Raw genomic sequence first — 21,060 nt, 5'->3', positions numbered from 1 at the left:
TTCCGTACTCAAAGAAACTCAAAGTTTAGAATTAGAAATAAAATAGAGGTTATCCAGAACCACCCTTATTTCTGAAGATAAATCAGTAAGAGCTTTGAATAAGGTTACAGGTAGTGAGTAGCAAATCTGGGACCAAATCTCTGATTTCCCATCTTATTGTTTAGACATTTTTCCACTATATATTTCTTCACAGATGGAGGAAAAATAAGATGCAGGGAAAGAAATATGCCAATTTTCCTTACTAGTCAACTGTCAGACAAAATCACAGAACAAGTCAGTAATACTATCTTGAATACTAAAAGTAGATATCACTAATATCCTTAAGTCATATTATCTCCTAAAAGCTGAATAAGTCCCTCCTACAGCAATTGGATTACTCATTCAGTTGTTCATTTAATGATTATTTTATGAACTTCAGCTACAGATTAGGCAATAGGCCTTATCAGAGTGAAATAATAGACATTTTCTCCATTGATAAAATATTTGGTCAAATCTAGCTCAAACCCCAGGAGAGTTCAATATCCATGTAGCATACCCTTCTAATGCCCTAGCATTTCAGTTTCTGAACCTTCTTAACTTGAATTACCTCCCAATTCATCTGTCCACATCCATTTCCCCACCAGGACCCTGCTATGACCTGGCACTACTCCAGATCTGAAATCTCAAACTCTAAAACTCCATCCTCTGATCACAGCTTCATATCTCTCTGGCTTTCCCTTCACTCTCCATCCACAACACCTATCTTTGGCTCTTCATCATGGTCCTTTGTTCCTTAAGTCCTTTCTATTTAGGCCCTTTTAGCTTCATTTCCTTCTTCATTCAGTCTAGACTCCATTGTTTTGCCAACACTTCAATTTCATTACACCCTTGTCTATGTGCCACCCCCACCTTGCCATAGATTAATCTAACCATTTGTCATTTTTAAGTCCTATACTTGGTCCATGGACCACTGCTGAAGAAATTTGCCCTACCATGCTGACTAACGTTAGGAAAATCTCAAAGAACAGAGTCTTGGCTGAGCCCTTCACATTACTGAATGGTCCTGTCTCACTTGTTGAGTACTTCCCTTTTCTGCTATAACTTCCCTGCTCTCCTCAAGACATCAGCTCAAACCTATCTCCTCTATTCACTGGTGACATTGTTTTCTACTTCAACAGAAAACAAAGCACCAGGCTTAAAGTAGCTCAAATTCCTACCCTGCTTCTCCAATATAAAATTATCTGCATTTGATGGTCATTGCTGATGGGAATGCAAAATAGTGCAGCCTCCACAGAAGGGAGTTTGGCAGCATCCAGCAAAAGTGCATATACCTTGACTCAGCAAACCCACTTCTAGGAATCTAACCCAGAGATAAAATGGCAAACACACACACAAGCCTATTAATTCTAGCACTGTTGTGAGAAGAAAAGATTGTAAATGACCCAAATGTTTTTCAGGACCATAAACTATGGCTCATCCAAAATGGAGCACTGTGCAGCTGTACAAAAGAAATTAGGATCTTCATAGATTATAGTGGAGTGATCTTTGGTATTCACTAAGTGAAAAAAGCAAGGTATAGAAGAAAGTCATAATGTACTGCTTTTGGTGCAGAAAAGGTGGTAAAAATATGAATCTATATACATTCTTTTTTATATTTTCAAAAGGAATAATGTGTAGCTCTTTGACTCTTACATATTGACTACTGCCTGGATATCCCAAGGCAGGGTTTCGTCTCTTTATTTGAAACCCTGCTACTGTTTCTTGCCAGTCACTGCTAAAATGTGCCCAACATTGTTACTGCCCTCAGATAGTCTGCCACCTCCCCCTCACTGTACTGTTAGAGTCATCTCCTGCAGTAAGTCTATGCCTCCCACTGGATCCCAGCTTGCTATTCTTCCTTGCCTGGCTGGTGGTGTTCCCACGGGTCTCTGGCCTGCTGCTTCCAGAGTGGAGGAGTGCAGAGGGCCCAAATCATGAAATAATGATGGTTTCAAAAGCTACCACGTCTTTGCTATTGTGAATAGTGCTGCAGTGAACCTGAGTGTGTGTGTATTTTGGTAGAATGATTTATTTGGGTATATACCCAGTAATAAGATTGCTGGGTCAATTGGTAGCTCTGTTTTAAGCTCTTTGAGAAACTTTCAAACTGCTTTCCACAGAGACTGAACCAATTACATTCCTACCAATGTTGTATAAGTGTTCCTTTTTCTCTTCAGCCTTCCTAATATTGGTTAATATTTGACTTTTTAATAATATCCACTCTGACTGGTGTGAGACGGTATCTCACTGTAGTTTTTATTTGAATTTCTCAGATGATTAGTAATGATGAGCATTCTTCATGTTTGTTGGACACTTGTATGTCTTCTTTTGAGAAGTGCCTGTTCATGTCTTTTGCCCATTTTTTATGGGCTATTTGTTTTTTGCTTATTGATTTTGTTTAAGATCCTCATAGATTCTGGGTATTAGATCTTTGTCAGATGCATAGTTTGTGAATATCTTCTCCCATTCTGTATGTTGCCTGTTTATTCTGCTGATAGTTTCTTTTGCTGTGCTGAAGCTCTTTAGTTTAATTAAGTTCCACATGTCAATTTTTGTTTATGTCACAATTGCTTTTGGGGACTTAGCCAAAAATTCTTTGCCAAGGCTGACATTGAGAGGGGTATTTCCTGGGTTTTCTCTTAGGATTTTTATTGTTTGAGTTCTTACACTTAAACCTTTAATCCATATTGAGCTAATTTATATAAATGATGACAGTTTGGGGTCCAGTTTTATTCTTCTGCATATGGCTAGTCAGTTATCCCTGAAACATTTATTGAATAGGGAGTTCTTTCCTTATTTCTTGTTTTTGTCAGCTTTGTCAAAGTCAGATGTTTGTAAGTATGTAGCTTTACTTCTGGGATCTCTATTCTGTTCCATTGTTCTATGTGTCTGTTTTTGTATCAGACCCTGCTGTTTTGATTACTGCAGCCTTGTAGTATAGTTTGAAGTCAGGTAGCATGATGCCTCTGGCTTTGTTCTTTTTGCTTAGGATTGCTTTGGCTATTCAGGCTGTTTTTGTTTTGTTTTGTTTTGAGATGGGGTCTCACTATGTTGCCCAAGCTGGTCTTGAACTTCTGGGTTCAAGTGATCCTCCTGCCTTGGCCTCCCAAAATGCTGGGATTACAAGCATGACCCATGACAACTGGCCTGTTTTCTGGCTTCATATGAAATTTTAGAATACTTTTTTCTAATTCTGTGAAAAATGATGTTGGTAGTGTGAGAGGAATATCATTGAATCTATAAACTGCTTTGGGCAGTGTGGCGCCCAATCTATGAGGATGGGATGTTTTTCCATTTATTTATGTGATCTCTGATTTATTTCAGCAGTGTTTTGTAGTTCTCCTTGTAGAGATCTTTCACCTCCTTTAGTTAGCTATATTCCTAGGTATTTCAATTCTTTTGTGGCTATTGTAAATGGGATTGTGTTCTTGATTTGACTCTCAGCTTGAATGTTTTTGGTGTATAGAAATGCTACTGATTTTTGTACATTGATTTGATATCCTGAAACTTTACTAAAGTCATTTATCAGTTTTGGGAGCTTTTGGTTAGTCTTTAGGGTTTTCCAGACATAAAATCATATTTTCAGTGAAGGGAGATAGTTGGACTTCCTTTTCTATTTGGATGACTTTTATTTCTTTCTCTTGCCTGATTGCTCTGGCTAGGACTTCCAGTACTATGTTGAATAGGAGTGGTGAGAGTGGCCATCATTCCCCTCAAGGGGAATGATTCCATCTTTTGCTCATTCAGTGTGATGTTGGCTGTGGGCTTGTTATAGATGGCTCTTATTATTTTGAAGTATATTCCTTTGATGCCTCGTCTGTTGAGGGTTTTTATCATGAAGGGATATTGGGTTTTATTGAAGGCTTTTTCTGTGACTACTGAGGTGATAATATGGTTTTTGCTTTGAATTCTGCTTAAGTAGTGAATCACGTTTATTGATTTGCATATGTTGAACCTGCCTTGCATCCCAGGATTAAAGCCTAGGTGCCCATCAATGGTGGATTGGATAAGGAAAATGTGGTACATATACACCACAGAATACTATACAGCCATACAAAATGAAATCACGTCCCTTGCAGTGAAATGGATGAAGCTAGAGGCCATAATTCTAAGCCAAATAAAGCAGGAAATGGAAAACCAAATACTGCATATTCTCACAAGTGGGAGCTAAACATTGGGTACCATGGACATAAAGATGGGGACAATGGAAACAACAGACACTGTGGAGTACTTGGTTGAGAAACTACCTATTGGGTACTATGTTCACTACCTGGATGATGGAATCCATACCACAAACCTCAGCATCATGTAATATACCCATGTAACAAACCTGCACATGTAGCCCCAGTATCTAAGATAAAAGTTGAAATTAAAAAATAAAAAAGTACATTTCTAGGAAGCTCAACAAAGTTGGAAAGGAATAGGAAAGAGCAAGGGAAACTTCTGGCTTGGTTTGATAAGGGCCCTGGCTTGACTTCAATACATTTGGTAAGTATATTTTAAGCCAATGTTGCTTTGGCCTCTAATGCAGTCCAGGGACTATTTCAGACAAAATAAGTGGTCAGCTTTCCAATGTTTTTTTTTCTTTTTTTAAATTATATTTTAAGTTTAGGGTACATGTACACAACGTGCAGGTTAGTTACATACGTATACATGTGCCATGTTGGTGTGCTGCACCCATTAATTCATCATTTAACATTAGGTATATCTCCTAATGCTATCCCTCCCCCCTTCCCCTACCCCACAAAAGGCCCCGGTGTGTGATGTTCCCCTTCCTGTGTCCATGTGTTCTCATTGTTCAATTCCCACCTATGGTCAGCTTTCCAATGTTAAAGGTGTTCAATGTTTCCAAAGGAATTCTCCTCAATTCTCTCCATATATGTCAGTCCTTGTTAGACATGCGAATCCTCCTGAATTCCATAGAGAAATGAATCCCCATTAAAAAACAGACTTTGAAGTATGAAACAAAAGACAGATAATCCATTTCCCAGGGTTCAAGGGCTGCTTTTGGAAAGCCCAAGAAATCCATTAAAAGCTAGAGGTATCAGAGGTGTGCCTTTGAAGCTCACAGGCTTTGTCACTACCTAGGGTACCTCTGTCCCTCCAAGAGGGTCTGTGACAGTTTTCTCCAAGATGTACCCTCCATATCTGAGAACAGGGTGCACCCAAGAAGTCAAAATTGCAAATGAAGAACAAAGTGTCAAGGTAAAAATTTCTCTTATGGATGAGAATTTATATTGATTTCCCACATTTAGGATTCATTTAAAACAGCCATCCCTCCTCCCCAAGCAATAGTGCTTTCAAAGGTATGATCAAAACAGCCCAAATGCGGGGGCATGCTGGAAACAGAAGTTATGAATTAACGAATTTGGGACAAATAGACAACGTAAATTATTTGGATCAAACCCTAAGCTTCAGTTTTGCATGGCTGTATCGTTCTGGTCATGGAGCTAATTTTAAATGATTAGCTGCTATCATCTTTTAAATAGGTTCCTAAATAAAACACTTAATTTTGATCTATGATTACACAGATTACACATGCAAAACAAGGAGAGGGCATTGAAATATTCAGTGTATAATTAAAACTGAAGATGATTTATATTTCAAATATCTTAGTGGCAAAACTTGGTTTTCTGAATTTGATGTTCAGGTAATTTCTCATATTCTCTACTATCCTGCTAAACTGGATGAGTTAGGATCTGGAGGCTTAATTACTCAGTTTTATTGTGCATACGAAACAGGTAAATTAGATAATTTTTTTATTTTCACTTGATTTTGTATTATTTTATTAGTTTTCTATTATCTACAGAGTAAAATTCAACAAAAATTTAGGGTGGCCACTATATTCTAGGTGTAAGGGATTAGACAAAATTAATAAGGTGTGGTCTCAGTCACACTATAGGGGCATGCACAGGAAAGATCAAGGCAATTTCCTACATTGTAATGATGGAATAAAAAAAGTTCCATCTGGAATTGTCTAGAATCTAGAAAATGCATTTATGTTACATAAGTCTATGCATTTGCAAGCACAACCCTAGTCTGTATTTTCCATAAGACTATTCCAATTTACTAGTTCATAACAACAACAACAACAAAAAGCAATTCAAAAATGCTCTTTTGGGGTACATAGATATTGACAATGAGAGTGAAAATAAAGTTTCTGATTTTGATGTCTTTTGATGTCTTTGTTAGGCTTGAAGATATGAATGACTCATTTCTTGACTTTTTCTTCCTAGTGACAGAGCCTAGATGTAGAAGAACCCTCCATTAAGATGGTATATGAAAATCAGTCATTTTGAAAAAGCACAGTGAGAAAGGGAATTTCTGAGTTTTAAATACAATGTTTTTTTTGAAATATCTTCTGGATCATTGAAATTAGTGTATTTGATCTAACAATTTAGCACTAAGAAGCCTGATATTTGCTGCTGGCAAAATTAGATATATTAGGATAACCTTTGTATATTTACACAGACACATATCTGCACAAATGTTTAAATGCAGTAGTTTCTCACATAAGCATAAAGATTCATACATAATTATGAATCTGAAAAGGAGACTTTGCTCAACCTTTCTGCTATAATTTGAACGTTTCATTTACTAATTCATGAAATATCATTTAGTGTTGGCCTTATGAAAGATACTGTGCTCATAGCCATGTGGAAACAAAGGTGAAAGGTACATGTTGCATTTGCCCAAAGGAAGGAGAAAATTTAGAGAGGGACAAATGCCAAATCCACAATAATTCCCAGTGTAAGGAAACCAGGTGATGGTATCCTCCTCTAACTTATATAACAGATAAACAGTGACCTTGTGGACTTTCTGGAAGAGGGACTGGCTGAAACTTGTCATTAGAGTTAAGCTTATTAAATATCAATAGCCACTTGAGAGGATTTCCTGAGCTAACTTTCTTTTAGTCTGGAACATTCAGCAAAACAAAACTCTGCCAGAGTATAGATAATGCTTCATCATAACTCCTCTCAAAGTTTACAGAAACTTATTTTGGAAACTTGAAAAAAATAAAGGCTCAAGGATATTATGCCTTGCAAATTTTATGAGCTGTAAATAACAACTTAAATAGTTATAAAATATAGACTTTTAAAATTAGGAACAAAATCTATCCCTAATCAGTAGTCATATTAATTAACCTAAATATTTTTTAATTTCTACAGAAATCAATCAAAAACATCCCTGTACCCTGTACTAATTTAGTCAGGCTGCTGGTCTTGAATATTGGTCTTAAAAGCGTTAAGAGTTTTGTTTTGTCTTACCCTCTGCAGAAGGTAAGGTGTTCTATCACAGGTTTTATGGACAAAGATTTGCCTCTTTTATGAAACCCTGAGCCTGTGACTTTATGTTCGTCTCTCATCCTCACCTCTTGCACTTTCTAATTTACTCCATGACATGCAACTTTATTCTGTTGCATTTGTTCCCTATTGCTGCTGTAACAAATTATCACTAATGTAGTGACTTACACAGCACAGATTTATTATCTGGCAGTTCTGTAGCTGAAAAGTCTGACATGGATCTCACTGAGCTAAAACTAAGGCATCCTGACAAGGCTGTGTTCCTTTTAGGAGGCTCTAGGAGACAATCCATTTCCTTGCTCTTTCCAGCTTACTTAGGTCATGCTCCCCTTCTTCCACCTTCAAAGGCAGCAACACTGCATTGCTCTATGCCTTTCTTCCATAACTCCATCTTTCTACAGCTGTCTGCTGACTCTCTCTCCCACTTTCAAGCACCCTTGTGATTACCTGGGGCCCACCTGGATAATCCAGGATAATCTCCCTATTTTAAGGTCAGCTAATCAGCACCTTAATTCCCTTCACAATCATAATTCCTTTCTGCCATATGACATAACCTATTGACATGTCCTGGGAATTAGGATATGGACATCTTTAGGGGAACATCATTCTGCCTCTCTCATCTGTCATTATAGATGCCTAATAAGTATCATTCTGTTGTGTTCACTGATTGTTTTGTGACTGTTGATCCATTTTCCCAACCATTTTCTAAGGGCCTTAGGGGGAGGGTCCAGTGGATCACAGGAATATTTATGATCTCAGTCCCTGCACTTAAGGGATCTAGGGAAACAACATGAAAATTCTCACCTGATTACTTAACAATACTTTTCAAACATCCCTCCCTTCCATCTGGGGTCTATCTATCCCCATCATGTCTGTGTTCTCACTGAATGTCCAGATGGTCTAAAATATGCAATGCAAACCTATTGTAAAGTGAAATTACAATTCCCGAAAAGAGGCAGGATTTTATGAACTTATGGAAGGTGATGGAGAACTGCTTAAATCACATGTAAAGCTATTGGGAAATGGAGTTTAGACCAGTCAACATCCAAACAGGATGAATTGGGAAGGATGTTGCTGCCCTGGACACCTCACAAGAGAGGCCTTGGAAAGATTGATGAAGGTTTCAAATGTGGGTCACGCTGCAAGGGGAAAAGTGAAGCCAGGAGGTGATATGATGTCATGCAATCTAATGTAATCAACACACAATTCATTGTCTTTATTCTAAGAATTAATGCATAGTTATGATTCTAACTTAAACTTTTAAAACTTAAAGAATATATAAATTGAATCGCATCCCTCATCTTAAAACCCTCCAAGGGCTTCCTCTCACATTTAGAATAAAATGCAAATCCTTTGTTCTGGCCTGTAAAGCCCCACATGGCCTTGTGCCTCCACCCTCTCTGACCTCATCTCCTTCCCCCTCCACCTTGACCAGTGATCACCAGCTACACAGCCCTCCTGCTGAGCTCCACCCTTAGGGCCTTTGCACTACTCCACCTTTACGGTCTTTGTATTAGTTTGTCCCTACACCTGCAATGTTCTTCCTGCACACTGTTGCATTGCTGGCTCCTCCTTGTCATTTGGATCTCAGGTTACATGCTCAAGTGAGACCTTCATCATTCACCTACCCCAATCCCTTACTTGAATTCCTGGCATAGTATTTATCACTTTGAGACTTTTCTTGTAACTAGGTAATTTGCTCCAAAAGAGCAAAGAAAGTATCACTGTGGCTCACTGTTGTGTCCTCTGTGCCCAGAACAGTGCTTGGCAGAGGGTAGGGGCTCAATAATTAGGGATGGCATGAAAGAATGGACAACTGGATTTACACATGACTTTATTATTGTGTTATTTTTGATGGCACACCCCTGGGTTCAAACCTAATTTTACATTGTCATGAAATTTGCTCTGTTCTCTGTGAACATTTCTGTTCACTGGCTATGTAGCAAATCAATTCAATCAAAACATTTGGCTTTTAAGTTTGGATAACAACAAACATCTGTGTTGAAAAAAGAAACTGGCTAGTCATTTTGGTGTGTATAGATACTATCTAAGCCTCAACATTTTTTCTTGTGTTATCTGCTAAGGGGCCAAAAAAAGATGGGATAATAGTAATGAGTTGTTTTAATCTTAGTTGCTTCAACTAATTTTGATAAGCACTATACATGGAGATTGAATATGGTGATGCACATATAAAAATACTTCACACAGCTCATTTAGTGCTATTATTTTGTGGAAGGTATTATGGTTAAATTTTAGCTCTTAATTTTGCTTACTAAACATGGAAGTTTTTTTTATTAAAATAGGTAGAAGTCCCAGAAATGCAAATACAATAACTAAAAGTAAGAAATGCATAAAATCTAAGTTATAAAATACTTGACAGAGTTGGAAAGAACAAATCAAAAATATAGTTTTTGCCCCATGTTGAAATAAAAAATAATAAATTTACTGTAATAGGACTTGGGACATGAAATGTATTTATCATGCCCAGAGAGCAAACTGACGAGTGTGATTTTTTTTTAATAAGCAGAATAAATATCAGGGCAGGTAACTCTATCACAAAAGCAAACAAAATCTCTTCATAAATAGCAAATCATATACCATGCCATGGCCATCTAGTTTTTTTTTTTTTTTAATCAACTTGCATCAACCTCCTTCCTTTTACCAGTCCTCAGATCTAAATCACACATATTCACTATCCTAAGGTCAAAGCAAATTTTCTCACTGTGCAGTAGTCCAGGACAAAATCATTAAATATTCCCAAGGGTTGATCAGCTGACACTGCAAAGCTCATAGTTTCTGAAGTGAAATGTTATCATGGCCATTTCCTTAAGTACATTTGCTGCTTTTAGAAATAATTTTGCATACTTATTTGAACAATAATTTAATTTACAACCTAATGGCTGTATGTCCAGAGCTATAGGATGGTGGAAAATTTTCCCTGGGTAACAGTTTTCATAGAGGATTTAGAAAAAAATAAACAAGAATTAAGGTATGGAATTTAGGATAAGAAGTAGTATAGGAGAAGGAAACGGGCTTAAGCTTGGGAGTCTCATAGATGGGTTTGAATTCTGGTCGTGCCAGTTTGCAGGGACATAAACTTTGAGCAAGCTGTGTAAACTTCAGGAGCCTCAGTTTCCTCATCTACAAAATATGGATGGTCTGTAAACTTTTCAGGCTGCTGAGGGTTCAAGGAAGTGATTTCCATGAAACATGTGGCATGTGCCGGATGCCTAGCAAATTACCCTGGATTAACTGAGAAGAGCCAGTTTTCCCATGTCAAAAATGGGAAAAAAGGATGAAGTAGGCTTAGATGTTTTAATTTACCGAAGAGGTCATTTTTGACTTTCTGTGGGTAGTGGCCCAACTGGAAGCTCCTTCCTGCCACATTTCGTGACTTGGAACCCTTCCTAAGGTCACTGCTTCTGGGGCTGCCTTCCACACACACAGACCTTGTTATCTCCCCCTTCTTACATGGGTAGTGAGATCACTACCCCTCAGGAATCAAATAGTGAGAGCCCAGTATGGGGAATATACTAATTTTGAACCAATCCTCAGTGGGAGAGGGGTTTAAAATGAAGAACCTAATACAGCTCAGGGAGAAACTTCAGATTTCCTCTCCTGCTGTTTTGTGTGCGCATTAACAATGAAATGGAGCAAAACTGAGGGTGTTGAAACAATATCTTCGGCTTCCCTCCATCCTTTAACCCACTTTCCTTCAAGCTGCTCTGGCTTCTCAGACCTGTGACCACCTGCCAGGCTCCCAAATTCTCTCCCCTCCACTTGGAGCCTATCAAAATCCCATGTGACCAGTCATCCATCAAAAGGATGACATTTGATTAAATTATTCACACCAAGGAATAATGGTTGGTAGAAAGTGGGATGTGTTAATTCCTGAGGGATTATTTTTCTAATTTAAAAGGAAAAAAAATCTCTAGGTACTTTTGGCCAAAGCATCCCTTTAGATTAGCCTGAAGCATCATCCCCTCTATCTGGATGATAACCAGCTTTGGTTAAGTCTCAGAAAATGTTCTATAATACAAAGATTTATGAACTATGAGTGAATGAAGTCATCCATTTAGTAATTTCTTCATCGAAGTTCTGTCTGCAGTTTAGGTGTTGTACTTAAGTGCCAAAATGGATCACAAGACACCAGGGTGCCTAAATTTTTGGTGTTGGCTTTCTTGATACTACATTGGAAAGGATGTGATTCTTTTGTAATTTAAGCTGAATGGTTACCATTTCAGAGAACTGCCTCATATGACCCTGGTCCATTCCTAATTGTATAAGCATGTCCTTTTGCTATTAATCCCTCCTAAGTCTTGCTACATAAGCATGTAAAATAATTTTGAAGACAGTGGTGGAGCTTTATGGAACGCATCCTGCATAACCCACAACTATACTGTACATTGAAGTGGTAAATGTTACCATCTCCAGCTCTAATCTGGGCTGCTTCTACCATTGCTGCCTCCTGATGATATATGACCACAATCTTTACAGTGCCAAGAAAACATATTTATTTTACATTAAAAATATGTAAGCAGCATGTGGTTTTAGAACCATTAATATTTTTCTAACAAAACACAAAACTGGTGTTCCATCTCAATCGTTTTCAGAAATGACACTGTACCCTGGCACAATCTGAATGGAGAGGCAATGATCTTGGCCACTACCGCTGTTGAACTATGTGTCATTTGGATTCAGTCTTCGCTTATGTAACTTTACTGGTTCTAAGGACGATGGGGTTTGTGTTGAGGTTCTCACATGAGAGAACTACACTTGGTATTCCTTAGGATTCTCTAAGGCAGTCTTAAAATTTATGTAATAAGCCACCATTGTTGACAGTTTTCTGCCATGAATTGCAATCTACACTAAAGAGTCTCAATTTAAGTAGACAGTAACAGAACTACATCTATCGTTGTTTACAGTTACTAACGGGCAAAAGCAGTGGAACCAGTGAAACATAATGGACTTTGAGGTCTGGGGTGGCTCCTTCACTTCTTCCTGATGTTAGTACTACCTGACTTCTCTGAGCCTCAGTGATTTCATCTGGAAAACGGGGTTATAGTGGGGATTCAATAAAATAATGCCCCCTGTAGGCAATAAGAGTTCAAAGTTTATGCACATTTACTTTTTCCTCCATAAGGCAGGGTGCTGCTGGTTCTTGTGGTGACCACTGGGAACAGGTGAGGCAGTGTGATGGGACCGGGGAAGGGACCTGAGCCTCACAGGTCTGAAGAGCACTGTCTGAAGGCAGCTGCAGCTGATGTGCCATAGTCTTACTAAGACGGCATAGTATAAGCCTCTATTACTGAGGAACAAGGGGCTAATGTTGTTTTGTTCGGGGCTGAGACTTACTTGTATTGTGTCTGCAAAGCAGCAGAGTTCAATCTCCGCCTCTGCCACACCCTTTGTACTGCCACTCCCCACCCTCAACTAGACTTGAAAAGCTCCTTCAGTGCATGTCTTTTCATCTTTGTAGTTTTGGTGCCTGGTATTATTGGAAGAATATATGGAATGACTTCTAGATATTTGTATTTAGGTAGATGAATCATCTGCGGTCACTTTGTTATAGAGAATGTTATAGAACTGTAGAATCTGAATCAGATCCTTTGTCAGATGATTAAAGAACATGTTCTCCATCCTTCTTTTTTCTTTCCAAGCCCAGAAATAAAGATGAAAAAATAAGGCCGTGCATGTTGGCTCACGCCTGTAATCCTAGCACTTTGGGAGGCTAAGGTGGGTGGATCATTTGAGGTCAGGAGTTCAAGACCAGCCTGATGAAGCCCTGTCTCTACTAAAAATACAAAAATTTGCTGGGCATGCTGGCACATGCCTGTAATCCCAGCTACTTGGGAGGCAGAGGCAGGAGAATTGCTTGAACCCAGGAGATGGAGGTTGCAATGAGCCAAGATTGTACCACTGCACTCCAGATGGGCAACAAAGTGAGACTCCATATATATATATAAATGGAGTTTGGGTGCCAAGAGTTTTACATTTATTACTCCATTTTATTGATTGTTCAAGTGCATGTGTTCTTTTTTTCTTTTGAGACAGGGTCTCTGTCTTGCCCGGGCTGGAGTGCAGTAGTACGATCTTGGCTCACTGCAGCCTCCACCTCCCAGGCTCAAGTGATCCTTCTGCCTCAGCCTCCAGAGTGGCTGGGATTACAGGCATGCAGCACCATGCCTGGTGAAATTTTTATTTTTTGTAGAGTCAGGGTGTTATCATGTTGCCCAACCTGGTCTTGAACTCCTGGATGCAAGCAGTCCTCCCGCCTAAGCCTCCCAAAGTGCTGGCATTACAGGTATGAGCTACCGCATGTGGCTGTTGATATGTTTTGTTTGTTTTTGTTTTCATTAGGGAAATGTCTGTTTTCCTCATTGAGTGAGGCTGTGTGAAAACGTGCCTCTAGTTTAAATTCCTACCTTATCCTTTAATGCCCTGGGATCATAAGTTATTTAGCCTCAGTAAGTATGTCTTTTTAGCTGTAAAATGAAGATTTCTACATCCAGTGATGCTGGGAATAGTAACAGTGATGTGTTGCAAAGGGGTTTTCCAACCATGCAATGTGGTGCAATACCTGGTACCATGCAGCTATCACACTCCCTCTCCCCTAAGAAGCATGGGGTAATGCTTGTCACATGTTGGGAAAGTCCTTCAGAGAGTGTGCTCTCTACTGTGCCGAGCAGCTTCCAGGAGTAATCCAGAACATTTCCTTCAGGTGACAGATCCTGCAGTAGATTTTCCGAGTCCCAGAGTTAGTGTTATACAAACTGCAATTTGTGAATCCCAAATTTCATAAGAGCAGTAGCAGCAGCAGATGGCAAAAATACATTTCTAATTCATTTAAAATCTGCTCCAAGAAATGAGTTCTCCCTGTACTCTTTATACTGTTATTTTTCTATATGTCTCTTCTATGCCTTCTAAATAAAATAATTATGAAGGAGAGAGACTGGCTTATGTTCCCCTCTACTGAGAGGCAGCAGCAGTCTATATCCCATAGTTTTACTGGAGAATTGTGACATAAGCCTTTATTACTGAGAAACAAGGAGCTTAATTTTGCTGTTTTTCAAGTCAGGCTTTAATGATGGCAAAGTACTGAATATAATTTACCTTTATGTTTATGGAATGTTTTCTTATTTTAAAATGCATAGCTGTGTCAAAAACAATAGTCAGCCTGAGCCAAGGGCTTAAGAAATTTACTTCAGTCTTGTTTCTCCGAGAATTTTATGTACTAAAAGCAAAATTTTAATAGCTGCTTAAAAGTATCTTTTATAATTATGACTGTGATTATAGGGAGATTAGAAAATTAACTGACTGTGGCCATGTGCGGTGACTAACGTCTGTAATCCTAGCACTTTGGGAAGCTGCGGTGGGTGGATCTCTTGAGCCCAGGAGTTCGAGACCAGCCTGAGCAACATGGTGAAACCCTGTCTCTATAAAAAGAAAAAAGTACAAAAATTAACCCAGGGTGTGGTGGTGTGTGCTTGTAGTCCCACTACTCAAGAGGCTGTGGTGGGAGAATCACCTGAGGCCAGGAGGTCGAGGCTTCAGTAAGCTATGATTGCACCACTGCACTCCAGCCTGGGGGACAGAGTGAGAACCTGTCTCAAACAACAACAACAACAACAACAACAAACTGGCAATCAATCAAGAAATATTTATCAAGAGATGATTATGTGCAAAACACGATTAAAGCAGTAAGGCTCTTGCCTAAGGAGCTTAAAATCTTGGGGAGACAAGACACACAGGTGGTATAAGGCAGACTGTGTTTATTGGGTGTATCTTCCAAGTAACACCCTTTGGGGAGCCAGGGAATAGGCTGAAGAGGATTGCAATGGTGTGTTCACACCATCAGGCCTGTTCACATTCCAAGCTCCTTTCTGGGCAGAGAGAAAGTGTAGGGCCCTGGCTTCCATCTGGGGGTTTCAGAGCTGGAGTTGACTGAATGAGAAGAGTTGGGACAAGGTTGGGTTGGATCCCACCTGGGAATGGCAGGAACAAAAATCCGAGAGGCATAACTAGTTAGGTCAGAGAAATAAAGCACTTAGGAAAGTAGAGGCTTGAAATATCTCTGGGAACAAGAGTTTGCCTTGGAAGGAAGCCTTCTCCTGAGAAACTGTAGCTCCTCCTGTGTGTAGGGGGCCAGGATAAATCCATTGAGCCAGTTTACACAGTGGCTTTTGGTCAGAAGCCCTCTTCCTGTCTTCCTGTTCCTGGCTAGAGACTGGGCCCATCTTCTGATGAGCTCGTACAGAGTTTATCTGAAATTGGGCCATCCAAGAAAATCAGGAACCATGTCAGCTCCTCTCCTGTATAACTGGTTGGTACACTAAGTTTATTATGCATTTTGGTAAAGTTCCCTCTCTCTGTGCTTTTAGGTAATATTTTCCATCTTGCTTTAGTTTTTGGAAGGTTGGTCACTAAGTAGTCAAGATCCATTGCCCTCATGACCAACTTTCAGATGTAGAAAACTGTACAAGGTGTGATGTGGACTGCATTTGTATTAGACAAATAGGCCATTCTGGGATGGAATGAGGCATTTCTAATGCTGCGGCTTTATTTTAAGGTCTATACTCAGGATCTAACTCAGCTCCCTTACTTTATGGCTCAGAAAGCAGTTATAGAAAGTTCTCACTAAGCTGGCTTAAGGTGTCCTTAATTATCCCCTTTCACTAATACAGATCAACCATAAACAGAATATATCCTTTGTCCTAGAGAGTTTGGCACCCAGAAGCAAAATCCTTTTGGCATTGGGCAAATTCTCCTGGCCTGTGTCTCTCTAGCTGAGGGAACATGTGCCATCCCTTGAAAATTAGGGCCCAGCGATTGTTTAATGTGACCTTGGTTAAGCCTTCAGATTATTCTTTCGTCTCTCTTCAGTGCCACTGGATAGCTATTGATTAATATTTACTGAATGTTCACAATGTGCCAGCTGCCACTGCGATGCAAGAAGCTGATGATCTGTTTAAATCGCTACTATTTTGTTTGGCTGAAAGAGTCTGGACTGTGAACGTCATTGCCAGGGCAGCATCAGGGGAAATTACGTAGTGTCGAGGCCAGCTCTAGGCTTTGTGGGGATAAGCTGAATGAGCTCAGGGGTGCAAGTAGCTCTGTTCTCTTCCCCAAGGAACATGACTTGGAGAAAATATCTCTTTCTGAGCAGAGTGTAGATGGTGAGGACTGATGTTTCCCAGATAGAAAGATGCTTTATGTCTAACTCCTTGGGGGAGACAGAATGTCTAGGAAAGAAAGAGGAAATCTTTCTAAGTAGAACTTTTGGCTAGGAGCCAGAGGACTGTCACAAGAATGCCATGTTCTTTGTTCCCCTTTTTCTGTGTGGCTTGGCTTTCTTTTTAGTGTTTGGTAAAGAGAGAGAGACTGAGAGAGAACAGGTTTTAGGATAACAGAAATGTGATACGGGCTTTGAGAGAAACAAATCAACAGATTCTACAAGGTGACAATGCAGATCGGAGTAACAGGGAGGTGGGGAAGGCTGCAGGGTGCCCAGGTCAAGAGATGAGTGAAGAGGCTCACAGGCTGCCGTTGAAGTGAAGCACAGTAGTAGGTACACAGGATATCTAAAAAGCAATATGTTTTTAAACTGAGTTTGATCTAAACATCATCTTTAAATATATAAAGTTGAACAATTAAAATTATTTCTGATATAGGGAAAGATAATTTATGGGATACGAAGGTAGGGAATAACATGTTTTTTTCTTTTTTCTTCCAGAGCAGTTAGTTTAGAAGTCCTGGGGTTGAGGGATGGGGTTTGATGGCACTCAAAGCTGCAACATTGATATCTTTAGTCAGAATTAGAAAAATATCTTGGGAAACAGTAGAGTAAAATACCAGGAGACAGTCTTTATCGTAGCATATTCTACTTAAAATCATGAGTATTTAGAAATAGCCCTACATGCTATCTCAAAAATAAATTATAATTTCAAAATTGTAGCAGAAGAAATTACTATTCAGAGTTCAGCTTTGTGATGTCTAAATGAAAAAGGAAAAAGGCAGGAGAAAGAGGGAGGGAAGAGAGGTGGAGAAGTAGACACAGTAATAGAAATAATATAGAAATTAAAAGTGGATATAACTACTAATACTGTAGAAATTTAAAAAGTCCATAATATATTTTGATGCATACCCTTCTGCCAATGTTTAATACTAATATGAAATGTATAATTTCCTAGAAAATGATGACTTAAAAAATGACTTAAGGAGAAGTTAGGAATCTAAATATACCAACAACCATTAAATAAACTGAATCAGTAATCAAAAGGCTAAGCTTACCCAAAATACATAAAACTCAGATGCTTTTATATGTGATGCTTAACAAATCTTCAAGCAATAAGTAATCTCTTTATTGCATAATGTGTTTTAGAGGATAGAAAAAGAGAAAGCTACCTAACTCATCTGGCTAGTAGCTAAAAGTGAACAAGAAAGTACAATAAAGTTACAGACTATTCTCACTAATGAATATAATGAGATATTCCCAAGTAAAATATTAGTCAATTAGGTCAGTAGTATGTATGACCTAGGAATATTTAGTTAAGAATGCAAGCATAGTTTAATATTTTAAAATCTATTAATGAATATACTATAAAGGAGATTATGTCATAAACCATATATGATCATATCAATAGACACCAAAAATTTTGATAAAATTCAACACTCATTTAGGATTAAGAATTCTAACCAAAGTACAAATAAGAACTTCCTAATTTGCTAAAAGATATCTTTTTAAAATAAAATTGCATATTAATCTATAACTGTAATTCCAATTGAAATCCCAATAGAGATTCTTATGACACATGACAAGCTTATCTTAAAAGTCATTGGGAGGAGCAAAAGGTTAAAAAGAGCTAAGATACTTTGAAATACAAAAGATAGTGGGACTTGTCATTATTATGAAGTCTTGGTGACTAAGACATGTGATCTTGGTGTGGGATAGATTAAAAAGGACGAATGAAACAGAATAGAGTGCCTAAAACCAGTCGCAAACATACATGAAAATACATATAGGATAGAGGTGTTATTGCAGATAAGCATGGAAAAGATAAAGTCTTCAATAAAGATGGAAAATTATAAAGCCCTATTTCCCAACACACACAAATTCCAGAGGGATCAATGATTTAAATGTGAGAAGTGAAATTTGAAAACTTTTAGAAAATAATGCAGGAAAATATATTTATGACCTCAAAGTAGGGAGATGTTTCTTAAACAAGACATAAAAAGCATAAGCCATAAAGCAAGGTATTAACAAACTGGACTCCATTAAAATCAAAACTTCTGTAAAACAAAAGCTCCCACAACACATACACACACGTGCACACGCATACACAACCCACTCCCCTCCCCCGGCTAACACACACACACTGGGAGAAGTTATTTGTGATGCACAAAACCTTCAAATGATTGTTACTAGAATTAAAAAGCATGCTTACAAGTCAACATAAAGAAGACAACCCAAGAGAAAAAAAAAGGGGAAAATAAAGGAATAGACAATCTATGGTGTGAGAAATGCCCGTGGTCCACAAATACATGGAAAGATGCTCAAGCTCACTAGAAATCAAAAAACAAAAATTTAAACAATGACAAGATGTCATTTTATCCTCATATTGTCCCAAATTAGAAGCCTCGACAATGCCAAGTACTAGAAAAGAGAAAGAGGAATGAAAGCTTTCATATATTGCTGCTCAAAGAGCTAAAACAATACAATTATTTTGGAGAAGAATTGGCAACAAAATAAAGGTAAAAAAGTGCTGCAATTGTGATTTGCAATTCCACTTCTGGGTGTGTAAAGAGACCCGTACACATGTGTGTAGGGAGACAGATGTAGTAACATGCATCGCAGTGTTGTTGGTAACAGCAAAAAGTCAGAAACAATTTATATGTCCATCAAGAAAAGAAATATTAAAATCAGTCATGATGTGTTTCACAGTGGAACACTACGTAACGTTTCAAAATGGGCCTGTCAAATGGTTAAATCTAAAAAGTATATTTAAAATAATGCACAAAAAAGATAATTTAGGCTGCTGCTAACCTCTGGAAAGTTAAAGAGAATGGGATTGGGGAGGGATACTGGGGGGAGCTTCAGCTATCCTTATACACTACTGTTTTATTCCTTAGAAAAAAACAACCTAGAGCCATATGGCAAAGTGTTAGCTTCCAATAAAGCTGGGAAGTGGTTGGGTTATGCTATTCTCAGTTCTCTTCTATAGATCTGGAATAACTCCTAATAAATTGAAGTAAAGGGACAGCAACAAATGAGTTGCTTTTATACAACTGAAGTGAAATGCAGCAACAAATCCAGCAACAATGGGTCACTGAGTCAGCTGAGAGACTAAGACCATCCTTCCAGCCAGGTCAGTGGATAACTGAGGACAGCAGGAACCTCTGCAGAGACTGTAGTTACGCCGGGATAAGATGCTTGTTGGTGGCTGGCACACTATTAAATAACTGCCTCTAAGTTTCACCACATAGTTGTTTCATCTTCTTTTCAGGGCTTTCCTATTTTTAAAATCTGATGTTCTGAGATAAAGAAACATTTTTGTGCTTTGTAAACCTAGTGAAGTGGACCCTCCCCCAGCCATGTTCTCAACCATCTGGCCTTGCAGAGACTGGGAACCTGGCTTCGCATCATATTGTAAAAGCGTTGAGAACGTAAATGACTTCTGGGACCAGGAGGGTAAATAATCAGGATCCAGACATGGGCAGGTGTAGCCCCGGGAATGGAGGGGAAGTGGAAAGGGCCTGGAGAAGGCAGATAAAGAGGGAAGTGGCCACAACTTTAGCTGATTGTGGGCACATGGAAATGAGGCTGTGTCATCAGATTTTCCAATTCAGAGGGAGCCAGAAATTTGAATTCTTTTTAAAAATGTGAAATCTCCTGATTTTTAAATGCTTCAAGTAATTTGAACATATCTTAAAATAATATGTAGCACAAAACAACAACAAGAGCAACATGAAGCAAGCCTCTCCTGGATTTTTTTTTTCTTTTTCTTTTTCCTATTCATTCTATTTCTAGAGCTCCTTGAGGATTTCTGCTAGCAGACCATCATCTTGTTTCTCTGGCAGAGAAAGCACCAGCTGCTGGAATCCCACGACCGACTGGGTCTCACTACTGGCCCAGTTGCTAGGAACTTCAAGTGCAGAGCCGTAATGAAGACACACATTCTCTCTCTCTCTCTCTCTCTCTCTCTCTCTCTCTCAACTGTCAGCAGTTGGCATGGTCAAAAATAAAGCACAGACCTGACATGTCAGCTTTGTGAAATCCAAACGGGACCACTGAATGAGCTGGAAAGAGCCATGGCACTCACCGCGTGATGAACTGTGACCTCAATGTACACTCTCCCTTTTCTTCACAGTCTCCTCCCACTTCCTCACTTACTTGCATTCCAAGGGTAGCCCCTGAAGGCAGGTGAGTTTTTCCAGTTCCTTTATAACAGCTTACTGCAGATGGGGAAACCAAGGGCCAGAGTGGTATAGGCGGCCCATGAGTCACAACACTGCACTGTTTCACCCGAAAAACCACCCCCGTGTGGAGGTGCTGGTGGTATCTCAGGAATCTGATGAGTGCTTTGTCGGGCACAGGTGTGCCCTGAGGGTCTAAATAACACCTGATCACTTCAGTACATTTTTTTTTTTCCTGCTAAGGAGAGAAGATTGCAGAATCAGAAGAAAAAAATTAGAATTGGTACAGAACTGCTCTTATTTGCAGTTATAAAAAGGAACTGTA

At 38.9% G+C, this 21,060-nt stretch overlaps 1 protein-coding gene across 1 annotated transcript in view, besides 1 other annotated feature; it reads right to left on the bottom strand.

The window, feature by feature from the left end:
- The window catches only part of KCNB2 (potassium voltage-gated channel subfamily B member 2), a 401,125-nt gene that overhangs the window by 35,296 nt on the left and 344,769 nt on the right, over nucleotides 1–21,060 (bottom strand). The gene's annotated exons all lie outside the window — the stretch shown is intronic.
- Nucleotides 19,859–21,058: an enhancer, noted in NCBI's record as "CDK7 strongly-dependent group 2 enhancer chr8:73794231-73795430 (GRCh37/hg19 assembly coordinates)". NCBI's record gives its function as "activates an origin of replication core promoter dependent on BRD2, BRD4, P300/CBP, MED14 and CDK7 cofactors, with strong dependence on CDK7, by STARR-seq in HCT116 cells {active_cell/tissue: HCT116}" and the evidence as "EXISTENCE:reporter gene assay evidence [ECO:0000049][PMID:35650434]".

Source organism: Homo sapiens, chromosome 8 (genome assembly GCF_000001405.40).
Source record: "Homo sapiens chromosome 8, GRCh38.p14 Primary Assembly".
In the NCBI taxonomy this organism is placed as follows: Eukaryota; Metazoa; Chordata; class Mammalia; order Primates; family Hominidae; genus Homo; species Homo sapiens.
The sequence above is the reverse complement of the archived record's forward strand: the minus strand, read 5'-3'. Positions and strand labels throughout refer to the sequence as shown.